Raw genomic sequence first — 18590 nt, 5'->3', positions numbered from 1 at the left:
CACTCTATCACCCAGGCTGGAGTGCAGTGGCATGATCTCGGCGCACTGCAACCTCCGCCTCCCAGGTTCAAGCAATTCTTCTGCTTCAGCCTCTTGAGTAGCTGGGACTACAGACACGTGCCACCACGCCCAGCTAATTTTTGTATTTTTAGTAGAGATGGGGTTTCGCCATGTTAGCCAGGCTGGTCTCGAACTCCTGACCTCAGGTAATCCACCCTCCTCGGCCTCCCAAAGTGCTGGCATTACAGGTGTGAGTCACTGTGCCCGGCCTATGTCGTATTTTTATTGCACCTTTTCTATGTTTAGATACACAAATACTCACATTGTGTCACAGCTGCCTACAGTATTCAGGACAGTCACATGCTGTGCAGAGTTGTAGCTTAGGAGCAAAAGGATCTGCCATAGAACCTAGGTGTGCAGTAGGCTACATCATGTAGGTGTGTGTAAGTACACTAATCTAGGATGCTTGCACAACGACAAAATTGCCTAATGACACGTTTGTCAGAATGTATTCCTGTCAATAAGCAATACATGACTATAATTTATATCCTCAGAGACACACAAAAAAATTGTAAGTTGGGTGCAGTAACATGCAAGTGCAGCCCCAGCTACTCGGGAGGCTGAGGCAGGAGGAACACTTAAGCCCTGGAGTTTAAGGCCAGCCTGGACAACAAAGTGAGACCCTGTCTTAAAATTTAAAGATAAGAAATTGGGCCGGGAATGGTGACTCACACCTGTAATCCCAACACTTTAGGAGGCCAAGGCGGCTGGATCACTTGAGGTCAGGAGTTTGAGACCAGCCTGGGCAACATGATGAAACCCCATCTCTTCTAAAAATACAAAAATTAGCCAGGCGTGGTGGTGCATCCCTGTAATCTCAGCTACTCAGGAGGCAGGAGAATCGCTCGAATCCAGGAGGTAGAGGTTGTAGTGAGCCGAGATTGCACCACTGCACTCCAGCCTGGGCGACAGAGTCAGACTCTGTCTCAAAAAGAAAAAAAAGAAAACAAAAATATAGGCAACAGACAAGCATCCTCAAACATGAAATAACAGAGAATATTGCAAAGACGAGCCCTTCTTGAAAAATCCACCTGACAGTGTAATCCAATCACTCAAATGATGAATCAAAGTGAAAAACTCAGGAACAGAGAAGCTGTGCCAAATAAACTCATCATGAATAATAAAAAATGTTAAGGCTAACATGCCAAGGGACTTATGGTTGCAGATGAGAATATAAACATTATAGATTATGACAAAGTAAAATTTGTGTAAGGAATAAAAGTCAGGAAGAGGATGAGGAGGTGGGAAAAATAATTACTTTGTTCTTCATTACAGGGAGTCAATCTATTCTCTACTGTCCAAAACTCAAACTAAGCAGATTTTGCCTTTACTGCAAGAGATAGTAGATTCTGAAATGATTATTAACCACTTACTGATTTTCATAACCTCCTTTCTTAATTTTAGAGGGTTTTTTTTTTTAAAGGAATTGCAGTATCTTTTGCTGAAGATACATTAATCTGACTGAGGTTTGGCATTCTTCTGTTTCACTTCGCTTTCTTTTTCTGATACTTTTGACTAAAATTAAATATTATCATTTTAATGCCATAAATATGTTGCCATTCTCTTAAAATTCCTTCTTTGTAAGTGTGTACAGGCTGTCTGGTTACTAACCTACCCATCTTTATACAGAGAGGTAGAGGCGTGTCAGCCATCTAATGATAATAGTAGTTATCTATAGATGGAGGGCTGGGGAGGGCAATGTTTGTTTTCTTCCTTACACTCTTTGTATTGCTTGAATTTTAAATAATAAATGTTTATAATTTTCATTTCATAAAATGCAGTCATTACTTTTAGAAATTCAAAGATACACCAGATAAATGCTAATAAAAAGAAAGAAGAAATGGCAATATTATTATTACTTTTCTTTCTTTTTAACCTTTGCTACTTCTTCCAGGAAGGAATAGCAATATTAATGCCAAACAAATGTGAAATTAAGGGAAAAGGCATTACAAGGAATGGAGAGGTATATTCATGTGGATAAAAAGCCCAACCCACCAAAAAAACATAACATTCATGAACATTTATGTACCTAATAACATAGCTTTGACATATATGAAGCAAAAATAGAAAGAACACAATGAAAATCTAATAGATGAACAAGTATACTGGGAGATAAGATTTTAACACATCTCTCAGAAATAAAGGTGATAAAAGTAAATAAGGGTACACATTATTTAAATAACACAATTAACAAGCTTAACTTAATAGATATGTAGAGAACTTTATACGCAACAAACAGAATACACATTTTAAAACACCCATACACTGAACACTCTGAAAATACATGATCATTTATTATTTATTAGACCACAAAAAGATCTCAACAAATTTCCCCCACCCTACCCCCCAAAAAAATCCACACAAAAATAAACACTAGATAGCACACAGACTGCATTCTCTAACCATAATAAGAGACTAACAATAAAAGGTCATACTGAAACAGTTTTCCTGGAAGTCCTGTGATCTTAGGAAAAGAACACAGCTCTTGGTGTCAGGCCACAACTCAAACTCCAGTTCTGCCACTTACCAGAGTTTTGTAACTTTGGAAAGGCCCTTAACCTCCCTATCCTCAAATTCCTCATTGTAAAGTAAGGATAAGCAAGAAATCCTCCCCTAGGGCTGTGGTGAGGATTAAACTCAAAAAAATGTGAGTCCTCTCCTTCAGGAAACATGTTAAGTCTCTGTGAAAGTATGGATGCAAAAGGTCATGGCTGATATCAAATCACAAATGCAGAGAGGTAAACTGAGGCACCAGGAGGACAATTCAGAGAACAGACATCAAATCATGATGCTCTCCACCTTCCAGATTCTTCACCTCTCCTCTGAGGACCCCTCATGCTCCCTAGAAGGAGGCCCTGGAGAGAGAACAAGGCCCTTACCTCGAGAACAAGTCACGCAGGCTGTACAGCGGTCGGCCTCATCCAGGTAGTAGTCAGGCTCACACTGCTTCCTGCAGTCAGTAGGCCTCTGTGGGCACTGCTGTGTCGGGAACAGCCCTGGGAAAAGAAACAGAGAAGCTCCAAGCCAGGCTGACTTAGCAAAGGCCTTATGACCCAATGCCCCACACCTCTCATCCCTGACGCCCCTCCCAGCTCCACCTCCAACCCCCGAAAACTGTCAGTCCAATTCTTGTGTTATGGATGGAAGCACTGACACCCAGGAGGGGCAACCCTCGCCTAAGGTCCCCTAGCAGGCAAGGAAAAGCAACATAGTTATAGAGAAGAGCTGGGCCTGGGATTCTAGGGCTGCCATTTGCCAATTGCGTGATAATGACCTTGTCAGCACTATTTGTGTGTGTGTGTGTGTGAGGGTACATAGTACGTGTATATATTTAGCACTATTAAGTTAGTAATAGGACCCACCTCCTAGTGTTCTTGAAAGGACTGAATGGACTGTGAAGATAAATATGTATAAAGTACTACAGCAGTCCCTGGCACCCAACAAGCACTATATGAGCACCGGTTGTCATCATTCTCTGCAGGGGTCTTATCTCACTGCAGGAATTAGGAGAGCCATAACTTTAGACCATGAAAGTCTAGACCAAGCTTGTCCAACCCACGACTAGCCGCATTCGGCCCAGGACAGCTCTGAATGAGGCCCAACGCAAACTCATAAACTTTCTTAAAACATTATGAGATTTGCGTGTGTGTGATTTTTTTTTTTTTTTTTTTTAGCTCATCAGCTATAAGCTAAAACACTATCCTTAGTGTTAGACTAAATTCACTTCTTCCACACTAACACTTCTTCTTCCAATGTGGCCCAGGGAAGCCGAAAGATTGGACACTCCTGCCACTAAGACCCTAATCCAGCCTGATTTCGAGATAAACAAGTCACCCAGCAATCGCTGCCTACCTTGCTTCCAGGATGAGCACATGACCCAAGCAGGCCAATCAGAATACTTCTTCCCATCAATATAATTGGCTCAGGATTGCCACATGACCCAAGCAGGCCAATCAGAGTACTCCATGTTCCTCACCACTGTGATTAGTTTAGTATGGGCACATGACCCAGGCATGCCAGCCAATAAGCCTCATCTCTGAGAGTTTCACAAAAGCAATCCAGAAAGATGTCCTCCGTTTATCTACTGGATTCCTGGCTGAAAGGGCTAGTTAAGCCCAGAGCTGCCCAGGTCATCACAGCCTGAGCGTGGGCATGGTGTGGGCAGGACTTGCCTAAGAAGGAGGTGACTCAGAAGCCAGCAGAAGCCAGAGTTGGAGAGAAATGGGCTCCTGAGGACATCGTTCAAACATCTGAATGTAGGGTGTCCATGGACTTCTCTGTTAGGGAGCCAATTATTTCTCTTTTGTCTTATTTGAGCCCTTCTGCCAGTTACAATGAAAATAGACCAGGGGGTTCCCAATATTTCTTGTGCCCCTAATCATTCTAAGGAAGCCTGTGGACACTGCACAGAATCATGAATTCATGAATAAAATATGCAGGAATGCAGAGGAATCCAACTACCTTGGAATATGGTTATCAAAGCATTAAACAAAATAACATATAGTAACAGGCCGGGTGCGGTGGCTCACGCCTGTAACCCCAACACTTTGGGAGGCCGAGGTGGGTGAATCACATAAGGTCAGGGGTTCAAGACCAGCCTGGCCAACGTGGTGAAACACCGTCTCTACTAAAAATACAAAAATTAGCTGGGTGTCGTGGCAGGCGCCTGTAATCCCAGCTACTGGGGAGGCTGAGGCAGGAGAATCACTTGAACCCGGGAGGCGGAGGTTGCAGTGAGCCGAGATCGTGCCATTGCACTCCAGCCTGGGCAACAGGAGCGAAACTCCATCTCAAAAAAAAAAAAAAAGATACAGTAACATGTGATTCTTTGTAAACTCATTAAATAATAGGGTAAAATAACTCCACAGTTTCAAAGCAATGATGAGCCCAGACAACATTTCACAACATCTGCAGCTACTGTAATATAATCTGAGAATATCTATGATTTCCGCTGAGGACAAAGCCGTGTACTACAATTACCACTGTGCTTTGTTGCCTTAATTCATAATGGGCGGAATTCATAAGTGAATTTTAGCTAGAAGCTAATTAAAATAATTGAATCCATTCAGGTTCATGAACCCTGTGAAATCTACCTTTGAGTCCATGGACCCCAGGGTAAGCACCTCTGCCCTAGAACAACACGCAAGAACCTCTCAAAAATACTAGCTTCGAGCCGGGTGCGGTGGGTCAAACCTGTAATCCCAGCACTTTCGGAGGCCGAGGCGCATGGATCATTTGAGGTCATAAGTTCAAGACCAGCCTGGCCAACATGGTGAAACCCCGTCTCTACTAAAAATACAAAAATTAGCCGGGCATGGTGGTACACTCCTGTAATCCCAGCTACTCAGGAGGCTGAGGCAGGAGAATTGCTTGAACCTGGTAGGCGGAGGTTGCAGTGAGCCGAGATCGCGTCACTGCACTCCAGCCTGGGCGATAGAGTGAGACTCCGTCTCAAAAAAAAAAAGCAAAAAAAAAAAAAAAAACTAGCTTCATGGCTGTCACTCTTTAACTCAGACACTTCAGTAGTTCCCCAGTAGTCTGAGAGGTAAATCTGACCCCTTCACTCCTTGCTGAAAACTTTCAAAGGCTTCTCATGGCTCCCAGGATGGGTCCTTACCATGGCTAGTGAGGTTCGGCTCACCTATGTCCCCCTTGCCCTCTGATCTCTAGCCACACTGGCATCTCCCTGTTCCCCAAAGGGGCAATGCTCCCTTCTGCCACCCCAGGGCCTTTGCACAAGCTGGTCCTCTGCCCCGAATGCTCCTCTCCCCTAGTAACTCCCACTCAGCCTTCACATCATGATCAAAGCATCACTGTCTCAGAGCCTTGGTCGTGATCCCCAATAAAAACAAAGACTCATTTCCTTGCCCTTCAACACCTAACTGTTGTAATCACACATTTATTTGTGAGCTCAATCTTCACAGTGTCTAAATTCCCCATAAGAATGTCAGCTCCATCGGGTGCGGTGGCTCACGCCTATAATCCCAGCACTTTGGGAGGCTGAGGTGGGCGGATTTTTTTTTTTTTTTTTTTTTTTTGAGACAAAGTCTTGCTCTGTTGCTCAGGCTGGAGTGCAGTGGCAGGATCTCAGCTCACTGCAACCTCCGCCTCCCAGGTTCAAGTGATTCTCCTGCCTCAGCTGAGATTACAGGCAATCACCACCATGACCGGTTAATTGTTTGTATTTTTAGTAGAGACGGGGTTTCACCGTGTTAGCCAAGATGCTCTCGATCTCCTGACCTCATGATCCGTCCCGCCTTGGCCTTCCAAAGTGCTGGGATTACAGGCGTGAGCCACCGCACCCAGCCCAGGCGGATCATTTGAGGTCAGGAGTTTGAGACCAGCCTGACCAACATGGTGAAACCTCATCTCTACTGAAAATGCAAAAATTAGCCAGGCGTGGTGGTGCACACCTGTAATACCAGCTACCTGGGAGGCTGAGGCAGGAGAATCACTTGAACCCAGGAGGCAGAGGTTGCAGTGAGCGGGCATAGCGCCACTGCACCCCAGCCTGGACAACGAAGCAAGACCCTGTCTCAAGGAAAAAAAAAAGTCAGCTCCTTGAGGATGAGTCTTTCTATGTCCACTCACCAATGCCTCCCCTATCATAGGGCCTCACACATATTTCATTAAAACATGTTCTGTCAACCTAGTTCATACGGCATTCCCCAGCCTGCACTCCCAGGCCTCACACTGTGTCTCCATCTTCCCAGTCTGGCATTCTAGTACATTGCTCACTTCATGCACTCTCTACTACAGCCAGTCTGGGTATCTTGATCTTTTCTCTAACACCCCTCATACATCCTGAATGTTGGTATGGATTAAATTGTGTCTCCCCAAAAAAATATATATGCTGGAGTCCTAACCCCCAGTACCTCAGGATGTGACTTTATTTGGAGGTAGGGGCTCTGAAGAGGCAATCCAGTTAAAATGAAGCCGCTAGGGTGGGCCTAATCTAATCTGACCGGTGTTCTCATGAAAAGGGGAAACTTGGCCGGTGCGGTGGCTCACGCTTGCAATCCCAGCATTTTGGGAGGCCGAGGCGGGCAGATCACCTGAGGTCAGGAGTTCAAGACCACCCTGGCCAACATAGCGAAACCCCGTCTCTACTAAAAATACAAAAATTAGCAGGGCATGGTGGCATGTGCCTGTAATCCCAGCTACTCGGGAGGCTGGGGCAGGAAAATCACTTGAACCTGGGAGGTGGAGGTTGCAGTGAGCTGAGATTACACCACTGCACTCCAGCCTGGGCAACAGAGGGAAACTCTGTCTCAAAAAAAATAAAAAGAGGTCGGGCGCGGTGGCTCACACCTATAATCCCAGCACTTTGGGAGGTCGAGGCAGGCGGATCACGAGGTCAGGAGATCGAGACCATCCTCGCTAACATGGTGAAACCCTGTCTCTCCTAAAAATACAAAAAAATTAGCCGGGTGTGGTGGCGGGCGCCTGTAGTCCCAGCTACTTGGGAGGCTGAGGCAGGAGAATGGCGTGAACCCGGGAGGCGGAGCTTGCAGTGAGCAGAGATCACGCCACTGCAATCCAGCCTGGGTTACAGAGTGAGACTCTGTCTCAAAAAAAAAAAAAAAAGACAAGAAAAATAAAAGAAAAGGGGAAAATTGGACATTTTCAGGCACGGTAACTCATGCCTGTAATCCCAACACTTTAGGAGGCTGAAATGGAAGGATCACTTGAGGCCAGGAGTTTGAGACTAGCCTGGGCAACAAGGCAAGACCCCATCTACAACAATAGAAAATTAGCCAGGTGTGATGTCACATTGTACTCCTAGCTACTCAGAAAGGCTGAGGTGGGAGGATCACTTCAGCCCAGGAGTTAGAGGTTGCAGTGGGCTATGATCATGCCACTGCACTCCAGCCTGGGTGACAGAGCAAAACCCTGTCTCTGAAACAATACAATACAGTACAGATGAAATAAAATAAATAAGAAAAGGGGAAATTTGGACACAGAGACAGATGTGCACACAGGGAGAATGCCATGTGAAGATTGGAGTTATGCTGCCACAAGCCAGGCGACCCCAGTCCCCAGCCGGGGACCAGTACCAGTCCATGGCCTGTTAGGAACGGGGCCACACAGCAGGAGGTGAGTGACGGTGAGCGAGCATTACCTCCTGAGCCCCACCTCCTATCAGATCAGTAACTGCATTAGATTCTCATAGGAGCGCAAACCCTATTGTGAACTGCACGTGCAAGGGATCTAGGTTGCATGCTCCTCATGAGACTCTAATGCCTGATGATCTGAGATGGAACAGTTTCATCTCAAAACCATCCCTGACCCCCCTTCATGGGAAGAATCATCTTCCACAAAACCAGTCCCTGGTGCCAAAAAGGTTGGGGACCACTGGTTTAAGCCACTCAGCCTGAGGTACTTTGTTACAGCAGCCCCAGCAAACTAACACAAATGTTCTTCCTGCAGGCTAAGTGGCTTCTCCATCTTCCACCCACTGGGAACCCTTCACACCCAGCCAGATCAGGCTGAAATACCATCTTCTCATGGAACTTTCCTGATCATCTGACCCCACCCAGATCCTCTCTCTGGGTCCCTTTAAAATCACCCTCTCAGAGCACCCAGAGCCTGCTCTGCCAGGGTGTGGCAGGCCAGACCTACCAAGATGTACCACCCCAGGAGCAGTTCCACCAATGTTTGATGGACATTGGCATATAAATACCCCAGCTCCCTCACCCTCAGCTGTTCTGCACTGGCTCCCAGAGGCCCCCAGAGGGATTAAGCCCCAGTTGCCCACAGCAGTAACTAGCTTTCTAACACAACTTTATAAGCTGCCTTCCCTTCCGTCTGCCACTTCCCTACTTCCAAATTGGTGTTTCCAGGCATCACCAACTGTACTCAGATCATTGCCTCAAAGTCTGTGCATCAGTCTGCTCAGGCTGCCATAACAAACTACGACAGACAGCAGGGTGGCTTAAACAACAGAAATTAATTGTCAGCTCTTGAAGCCAGAAGTCCAAAATCAAGGTATGGGCAGGGCTAGTTTCTTCTGAGCTCTTTCTCTCTGACTTACAGATGGACTGTGTTCCCCATGTCCTCCCACAGTCTTGTCTCTGTGTATATCTGTGTCCTAATTTCCTTTTATAAAGGCACCAGTCATATTGGATTTGGGCCTATCCTAGTGAACTTATTTTAACTCAATTGCCTTTTTAAAGACCCCATCTCCGAATAAGGTCACACTCTGAGATTCTGGGGTTAAGACTTCAACATAGGAATTGGTTGGGGGATACGGGCATGACTCAGCCCATAACAGTCTACTTCTGGGGGAATTCAAACTATGGCACCCCCTTTTCTTACAAGCAGGTAGAAAAGTCTCAAATTGGTATAATATTTGTCTTATTGAGATTGAGTTTGTGAGGGCAAGATGATAGCTGCCCCCCCATGGTTGAATCTCTAGGGTCTGATAGAATGCAAATACACAAAACATATTGGGTGAATCAATGAATGAATGAGTGGGTGGATGGGTGGGTAAATGGATGAGTGGGTGGGTGGGTGGATGGATGGATGAGTGAGTGCATAGGTGAATGGATAAACGAGTAGGTGGATGAGTGGGTGGGTGGATGGATGAGTGGGTGGGTGGATGGATGAGTGGGTACGTGGATGGATGAGTGGGTGGGTGGATGGATGGATGGATGGGGGAAGGGTGGATGGGTGGGTAGATGGGTAGATGGATGGATGGGTGGAGGAACAGTGGATGAGTGAGTAGATGGGTGGATGGGTAGACGGATGGGTGGATGGATGGATGGATGGATGGGGAAAGGTGGATGGGTGGATAGATGGATGGGTTAGGGAAGAGTGGATGAGTGGGTAGATGGTTGGATGGGTAGATAGATGGATGGGGAAAGGTGGATGGGTGGATAGATGGGTGGATAGATGGATGGGTTAGGGAAGAGTGGATGAGTGGGTAGATGGTTGGATGGGTAGATAGATGGATGGGGAAAGGTGGATGGGTGGATAGATGGGTGGATAGATGGATGGGTTAGGGAAGAGTGGATGAGTGGGTAGATGGATGGATGGGTAGATGGATGGGTAGATAGATGGATGGGGAAAGGTGGATGGGTGGGTAGATGGGTAGATAGATGAATGGGTTAGGGAACAGTAGGTGAGTGGGTAGATGGGTGGATGGGTAGATGGATGGATGGATGGATGGATGGGGAAGGGTGGATGGGCAGGTAGATAGGTGGATAGATGGATGGGTTAGGGAAGAGTGGATGAGTGGGTAGATGGGTGGATGGGTAGATGGATGTGTAGATGAACGGATGGATGGATGGGTGGATGCAGACCAGTGGTATAGGGGCTTTTCCTCACTGTAAGCTCCCATTCTTCCTCCTTTGAAACTATCTTAGCACAGATACCCTCTGGAGTATCAGATATATATAAGCATGTCACCTCCCCTACTAGTGGGTTGCTCCCAGGAGGCAGGACCTTGTCCTTCTCTCCCCCAAATAACCCTATATCCAACAGAGCTCAATAAATGCTTGCTGCATTGGGCCAGTCCTATTTCCTTCTACTGCCTTCCATTTCCTCCCTTCCACGCCCACATACTTCCTCCTATACAAAAGAACCCTGGTGGATTTTTCAGGCTTAAAGAAAAGACTAGGATGTACCTGCGAGTGGGATGGACAGGAGAGAGAGGCTGGTCTGACTTCAGCAGAGGGAGGTGCCAGGGGGACAATGGAAGCTTGGCCCTGTGAGGCAATGGCTGGCTGTCACAGAAGAGTATGCGGGGCAAGTTAGCCATATTCATTCATTCACCTATTCTTTCAAAAATTGAGACTCTACTATGTGCCAAGCCCTGGGGTCAGGGCTGGGGATCCTGCAGGAAGACGATAGACAAGTCATGACACATGGAAGGAGTGTTAGGAAAGTGGAACCATGGGAGGCACCAAGAGCCCAGAGCCAAGACCTCTGAGCTGGCTTGGGGTCAGGGAGGGCCATCCCTCCATCCATCCAACAAATGTTTATTTCTCTTTTTTTTCGAGATAGAATCTCGCTCTGTGGCCCAGGCTGGGGTCAGGGAGGGCCTACACTTAAGTGGACCCTGAGGAATGCAGAGGTGTGAGTCAAGCACACAGGGACAGTGGGGGGCCAGGAGGTGCTGTGAGGGGGCTCTGCTGGGACAGTGTCAGAGGGCACAGGGGAGCCCAGCACACTCAGCTGAAGCCCAGGATGAAGAGGGACTGGGCGGGGGAGGGGGAGGCGGCAGGGGCAGCAGCTGTCATGCCAAATGGGCGTGCCCATGCACAAAGCTGAGCTTTACCCAAGGGCAGCGGAAGCTGGGGGAACCCACAAACCCCCTCCTCCTCCTCCTTCCTGTTCACAGCCTTCGGAGGAACCCTCAGCTCCTGGGACAAGATGGGATACACCTGCCATGCTCCCTACCTAACACTTGGCCTGGCCTCACATCCTTCCCCTGAACCTGGGCAGGCCTCAAACATCTGCAGGAGAGACCCCTTCCTGTGGGGAGCGAGTCTGCACACAAAGAGAGGGTAGTCCAGGAAGATGGAGAACAGGAAGGGCTTTGTAGCCCCCGCATTAGCTCTTCACTCGTAAACTCTTCTGCCTCCCAAATTCGAGGCCTTGAGGGTCAGTATCAACTACAGTTGAAGAGCTCAGGAGACTGCACTCGGTGGTCATGTTCACGGCCCGGCTGAGCCACTGATACGCATGTGGCCTTGTGCAAATTCCTGAACCCCTCGGTGTCCAAGTTTCCTCTCTGGATTTCTTATCAGGATTGAAGGAACTTAAGGTCGGTAAAGGGCCCAGCACAGTGGCCAGCACATAGCGTGCTCCATCGGTATGAATCGTGGTCATTGTTATGAGTCAGTGAATGAGCTCCCCGTCACCAAGAGTATGTAAGCAAAGGGCTGGGGACCTGCTCTCAGGAATGCTGGAGAGGGCATCACAGGCCTGGGTGCAAGGAGGGATTCGATGACATCTACATTTTTCAATCTCAAAGGTCCCTCAGCTTCCTTCCTCCACCAACCCGCCCACAAGCAAACCCGGCCACACAGCTGAGTGCTGGCTGCACAGGGCAGGCAAAATGTCAAGAAATTTCCCCGAGAGATCAAAGAAGGGGTTTTTGTGGGTTTTTCTTTTTTCTTCTCTGGCTACACGGAAGCACAAGGTCAATAAAACACCAGTAAAATGCCCCACCCACCACACCAATATGGAGTATTCAGCCCCAGCCAGCACTGGGCCTTAGAGAGGGGAAGTGGGGAGGAGGGAGCCCCCTCTTCCTAAGTCACAGCTTTTAAGTGGAGGGAGCCTGGGACCTGAGATGTCATTTTTCTCTCCACCCACTCCCCATCAAGGCCCTTTCAGGCTGGAGTCAAAGGGGCCAGAAGAGGATGAGAAGGAAGTGTCTTTCTCCTTGTGGCTGGGATTGTGGGTCCCATGAAAAGTCATAGAACACTGTGGGCCACTCCATTCCAGAGGATAAAAACCACAGCAAGCGGGCCCTGAGAGAACTGAGTGGGAACCACCACCAACCATCAGGCTAGCAAGGGAAGGCCTCATGGAGGAAGGGGTTCCAGAATTGCAGCAGGTAGGGACGGAGGGGAGGGCATCCCACATGGGGACAGGCATGTCCAAAGGCCCAGAAACTAGGCCTGGCACAGTGGCTCATGCCTGTAATCCCAGCACTTTATGAGGCCAAGGCGGGCAGACCACTGGAGGTCAGGAGTTGAAGACCAGCCTGGCCAACACGGTGAAACCCCATCTCTACTAAAAATACAAAAACTAGCTGGGTGTGGTGGCACATGCCTGTAATCCCAGCTACTCAGGAGGCTGAGGCAAGAGAATTGCTTGAACCTAGGAGGCGGAGGTTCCAGTGAGCCAAGATCACACCACCGTACTCCAGCCTGGACTACAGAGACAGACTCTATCTCAAAAAAAAAAAAAAAAAAAAGAGAGAGAGAGAGAAATAAAAATTTGTTGGATGGATGATGGATGGATGGATGGATGGATGGATGGATGGATGGATGGATGGATGGATGGATAGAAAGGTAGATGAGAAAATGGCCAGGAGAGGGGTGGGTGTATGGATGGGGGCGGTGAATGGGAGGATAATTGGAGGGATATGGGAAGGCGATGGTGCTATGGACTGAATTGTGTCCCCCACAAAGTTCATATGTTAAATGTGTTGAAACCCTAACCCCAGTGTGACTGTATTTGGAGATAGGACTTTTAGGAGATAATTAAGGTTAAATGAGGTCATAAGGATGGGGCCCTAATCCAGGGGGATTGGTGGCATATATGAAGAGGGGGAAAGAGAGAGAAAGAGAGAGAGAGATCGATCTTCCCACCATGAGAAGACTGCCATCTGCAAGCCAAGAAGACAGCCCTCACCAGAAACCAAATCCTCCAAAAACCTTGATCTTGGACCTTCAAGCCTCCAGAACTGTAAGAAATAAATGTCTATTGTTTAGGTCACCCAGACTACAGTATTTTGTTATGGCAGCCCCAGCAAACTAATACAGATGGATGGATGGATAGTGGCTAGATGGGAAGAAAAATGGAAAGGGGATGGGAGGGGTGGGTTGGTGAGTGGTTAAAAAGATGGGTGGGTGGGCAGGTACTTGGATGGGTGGGTGGGTGAGGGGGGCAGGTACTTGGATGGGTGGGTGGATGGCCGACCAGTGAAGCACTGAAAAAACCAGGGGACCCACCTAATAGATCATTCAAAATCAACACTAAACCAAAAATAAAAGCAAGAAAGTCCAATAGCATCCAACCCACTACTTTTGCCCATACAATGAATACTTTGAATCATTGTTGGAAATACAAATCAAAATCAAATACAAAAACATCAAATTCTTTCCAAGAATGTTTCCCTCTGTCCTTTGGTGGCCTGAGCACGAGCCTGGTCTGCATCTCATGGGGGAGTTGAGGCCACAAGTCTAGGAACTGACTGACCTGGGTTCCCGCGCAGCTCCAGTGGAATAGCCCTGATGGCCATAACCTGTCACCACCCTCCAGACAGTACAGCTGGGTGGATGGGCCCCTCCGCCCCCACTGTCGGAAGCCCTCCAGACGATGCCCGCCCACTTGCAATGGCCTGCTGTCCTCAAAGCAAGAAGTGGCGATGATGAACCAGACACACACAGACTCCCTCCCACCCTTGCTGGCACAGCTAAAGGCTGATGTCCCCGTGACAATCTCTGTTCCTGGAGGTCAGAGACCACGAGGGCATCGTTATGTCCTGCCCCGCCCATCTAAGACCACTGGTGGTGCCTTGGGACTTTTGATAATAACCACAGGGGCAGAAATGCCTCATGACCCTATTCCAGCTGCTTATCTCCTCGGGCCTAAGCATCATCTACAAAATGGAAGGAACAACACTCACCCCAGCTCCAGAAGGATTTCCTGGTAATTGACTAGAAGTCAATCACGGTGCTGGGGGTGGGGGAACATTCCAGAAAGGGAGCTCTGGTCTGGGAGACTGGTCTCAGAGAAATCTATTGTCCAGGTTGTCCCAGGATAAACACCTGTCCTGAGCTGGGGCAGTCAAGAACGGCAAAGAGGCCAGGCATGGAGGCTCATGCCTGTAATCCCAGTGCTTTGGGAGGCTGAGGCAGGAGGACTAATTGAGCCCAGGAGCTCAAGACCAGCCTGTGCAATATAGCGAGACTTTGTCTCTATTTTAAATTAATATAAAAAAATTAGGCCGGGCACGTTGGTTCATGCCTGTAATCCCAGCACTTTGGGAGGCTGAGGCGGGTGGATCACCTGAGGTCAGGAGTTTGAGACCAGCCTGGCCAATATGGCGAAACCCTGTCTCTACTAAAAATACAAAATTAGCCAGGTGTGGTGGTGCATGCCGGTAATCCCAGCTACTTGGGAAGCTGAGTCAGGAGAATCGCTTGAACCCGGGAGGTGGAGGTTGCAGTGAGCCGAGATTGCACCATTGCACTCCAGCCTGGGCAACAAGAGCAAAACTCCATCTCAAAAAAAATAAAAATAAAAATAAGAGAGAAAAGAAAGAACTGCAAAGGACTTCTGGGCCCCAGAAATGAAGGGTGGTCAGAGGATGTTGACAGCCCAGGCTTTGAGGTCTCTGAGCCCTGGGCCCCAGCCCTGATCATTCCACCATTTCCCAACTGTGTGACCCTGGTCATCAAGGGAAGTAGCTGGAACTTAACCCTGCCAAGCCCCAGTAGCCTCATCTGCAAATTGAGTGTAATAAAGGATCATTGCAAGCACTTAATGAGATGATGCCGTGCATATAAAGGTCTCGGACTCATGGATAGTAAGTGTCCAATAAAGGGCAGCTCTACGTTAAAAATAAAAACTCATGGAGATGGACATTCTGGTGGCAGCAAGAAACACAGTCTCAATTCTACAGCCCTAGCCTTCCGAGAGAGTCCTTGGACTCCGCGACACTAGGAATGACCTGCAGAAAACTGTAGCCAATTATGACGATGACGGTTGGCTCCAATTTCCCCACTCATCAATCCCCCAAGAGGGTCATCAATTGAGGACAAATTTCCCCCCTTCTCCCCACCCCCAACGCCCCCACTCACCCATGGGGCAGCGGTAACAGCACCTCCTGACAGCCTTGTCATAGTAGTGGCTGGGGTTTCCATGACAGGTGTCCTCGAAGGGTCGATCCTGGCAGGTCAGAAAAGCTGGTGAGGCCAGGTGGATCCCAGATATCCATACTCCCTCTGTCCCCACCAGTCCCAGGAGGCCTGAGACGGAGCTTTGTAATATAGGAGAGAAATCAGGACGAGAACTCCTGATTCCACAAACCCACACCGCCCTTACGCTTCCCCCTGCTACTCCAGCTCAGGCCAGAAACTTTAGCGTCTCCCTTGACTCTCTCCTCTCAAACAACCTATCAGCAAATTCTCCTGGCCCTTTTCATACCATAATCATCACCACCTTCACCTGGGGCTAGTCACCATCCCCTTGCCCTGGGATTAACATAATTGCTTCCTACCTTGTCTCTGGGATGGGCCCAACAATACAAATTTCTGGTAAACGTATTTGTTGAAGTCTAACACACCCGTACAAAAAAGTGCACAGATCTCAAGTTACAGCCAACTGCATTTTTACAAGATGAACGCACCAGGCAATCAGCACCCAACTCATCAAATGGGACCTTGCCAGCCCCAGCTCCTCCGTCATCCCCCCTCCCACACACTCCTCCCAAAAGGCTGATTTCTATCGCTCTATTAGTGTTGACTGCTTTTGGATTTTACATAAAGTAGAATTACGCAGTCCATTCCCCTGCAATCGGCCTCTTTAATTCAGCATTATATTGTGAGAATCATTCGCACTGTTGCAAATAACAGTTGCTCATTTCTGTCCATTGCTTTGCAGTATAGCATCACACAAATATGCACAATTTATTTGTCTAGTCTACTCTCTTTTTTTTAATTTGTTGAGACAGAGTCTTGCTCTATTGCCCAGGTTGGAGTGCAGTGGTGCAATCTCAACTCACTGCAGCCTCCACCTCCTGGGCTTAAATGATTCTTGTGCCTCAGCCTGCCAAGTAACTGAGACTACAGGTGTGTGCCACCATGCCCAGCTAGTTTTTGTATTTTTAGCAGAGAGAGTTTCACCATGTTGGTCAGGCTGGTCTTGAATTCCTGACCTCAAATGATCCACCCGCCTTGGCCTCCCAAAGTGCTGGGATTACAGGTATGAGCCACCACTCCGGGCCTGCTCTCGATAGACATTCCACTTTTTGGTTATTATGATAGTGCTGCTGGGAACATTCCTGTACACACGTTTTAGTGTCCAAACGTACACGCTTTTGTTGGCTATATACCTAGGAGTGGAACTGCTGGGGCATAAGGCATGTTCAGTTCTGATAGATTCTCCATCCAGGCTTCTAAAGTAGTCGTACTAGTAGGCACTTCCCTGCAGTGTCTGAGGATTCCAATTGCTCCACATCCTTGTCAGCACTTGGTGGTATCAGTTTTTAAAAGTTTAGCCATCTTGTTGGATCTGTAGTGATACCTCATTGTGGTTTTTATTTGCATTTCTCTGATAAGTAATGTTGTTGGGCACCTTTTCCCACATTTATTAACCATTTAGGCATTCTTTTTTGTAAGATGCCTATTCAGGTCTTGTGGCCATTTTTTTTTAATTGGGTTGTCTGGCTTTTCTTATTGATGTGTAGGGTTCTTTACATATTCTAGATACACGGCTTTTGTTGATTATATGTACTGCAAGTATCTTCTCGCATCCTCTGGCTTGCCTTTTCACTTTCTTTTTGGAGGCTTTTGATGAACAGACATTCTTAGCTTTAATAAATTACATATACTAATCTTTTCTTTTATGGTTAATGCCTTTTTTTGTCCTGTTTAAGAAATATTTGCCCACTCAGTGTCACTTAGATATTCTCCTACATTAACTCCTAGATGAGATTGTTTAATCGTTCATATTCAAGTTTCATTCTTGTACATGGTGTGAAGTAGGGGTCGGAGAGGCTCACTCTTTTCAGGAAGGCGTGGTTTTTGTTTTGTGGGTTTTTGTGGGGGTTTTTTTTGTTTTGTTTTTGTTTTTTTTTTTTTTGAGACAGGGTCTCACTCTGTTGCCCAGGCTAGAGTGCAATGGTGCAATCATGGCTCACTGCAGCCTCAGCCTCCCAGGCTGAAATAGTCCTCTCTTTCGCCTCAGCCTCCCAAGTAGCTGGGGCCACAGGCATGCACCCCCACACCCATCTAATGTTTTATTTTTTTGTAGAGACTGGGTCTTGCTATGTTGCCCAAGTTGATCTCAAACTCCTGAGGTCAAGTAATCCTCCTGCCTCAGCCTCCCACAATGCTGGGATTACAGGCGTGAGCCACCTGGCCCGGCCTCAGGAAGATATGTTTTTACCAAGCCCCCCATGTGTTTCAAGGGTTCTTTGAAAGTGAAGCACCATCATAAGAAAGGATTCAAGAGAGGAAATTCTTTGTTGAGATTCCAGGGAAGGAGTTTTGTCTTTCCAGATGGAATGACAGGGGAACGCCATTGCACTTTTCTGGGGTGATCCAGGATGTGAAACTTCTAGGGTGGAGCAAAAGGGAAAAGAAGGGAAGCAGGAAGGGAGGCAAGAGAAGGGAAGCAGGAAGTGAGGCAAGAGAAGGGAAGCAGGAAGTGAGGCAAGAGAAGGGAAGCAGGAAGTGAGGCAAGAGGCAGGGAGGAAGCCTTGTAGCATTTCCATGTCTTCAGCATCCAAGATGGTGCCTGGCAGAAAGGAGGTGGCCCCTGGTGCGATGTGGGGCTTTCTTGGTTTAGGGAAGGAAGCAGAAGCCACTTTTCCCCAGGAGAGAGGCCTGGCTGGCCTAAAGGGCTGCCTGACTCTTCTCTCCACTCGAGGGAGCAGTGAAGCTTCCGGCATGTTCAGGAAGCAGCAGAAAGCAGCAGCGTGGCTGGAAGGTGGATAAATGGGGTGTTGGTTACATCATTCTTTTTTTTTTTTGCATGTCTGAAACATGTCACCATATTAATTTGAAATAATACATGAACGTGATATTTGCCCAATAGTCACATGGCGCTTGAGTTGTCTCCCT

General features: G+C 47.7%; 1 protein-coding gene across 6 annotated transcripts in view, besides 2 other annotated features; it reads right to left on the bottom strand.

Annotated features, from left to right (window-relative positions):
- TNFRSF8 (TNF receptor superfamily member 8) overlaps positions 1-18590 on the bottom strand; it is an 80905-nt gene that overhangs the window by 44051 nt on the left and 18264 nt on the right. For 4 of the 6 annotated variants that reach the window (NM_001243.5, XM_011542441.4, XM_047434793.1 and 1 more), the window contains exons 2-3: positions 15606-15693; positions 2940-3056 (exon numbers count right to left, since the gene is read on the bottom strand). In NM_001243.5, the coding sequence (NP_001234.3) occupies positions 2940-3056; positions 15606-15693 (205 nt within the window). Of the gene's footprint in view, positions 1-2939; positions 3057-3422; positions 3844-15605; positions 15694-18590 lie in introns of those variants that run through there. The other 2 variants (XM_011542443.3, NM_001281430.3) reach the window with 2 other exon arrangements.
- Positions 12048-12387: an enhancer, noted in NCBI's record as "active region_202". NCBI's record gives its function as "activates an Ori minimal core promoter by ATAC-STARR-seq in GM12878 lymphoblastoid cells {active_cell/tissue: GM12878}" and the evidence as "EXISTENCE:reporter gene assay evidence [ECO:0000049][PMID:35858748]".
- Positions 12408-12517: an enhancer, noted in NCBI's record as "active region_201". NCBI's record gives its function as "activates an Ori minimal core promoter by ATAC-STARR-seq in GM12878 lymphoblastoid cells {active_cell/tissue: GM12878}" and the evidence as "EXISTENCE:reporter gene assay evidence [ECO:0000049][PMID:35858748]".

The sequence above is a fragment of the Homo sapiens genome, chromosome 1 (genome assembly GCF_000001405.40).
Source record: "Homo sapiens chromosome 1, GRCh38.p14 Primary Assembly".
NCBI classification, from domain to species: domain Eukaryota; kingdom Metazoa; phylum Chordata; class Mammalia; order Primates; family Hominidae; genus Homo; species Homo sapiens.
This window is presented reverse-complemented; position numbering and strand designations above follow the sequence as displayed.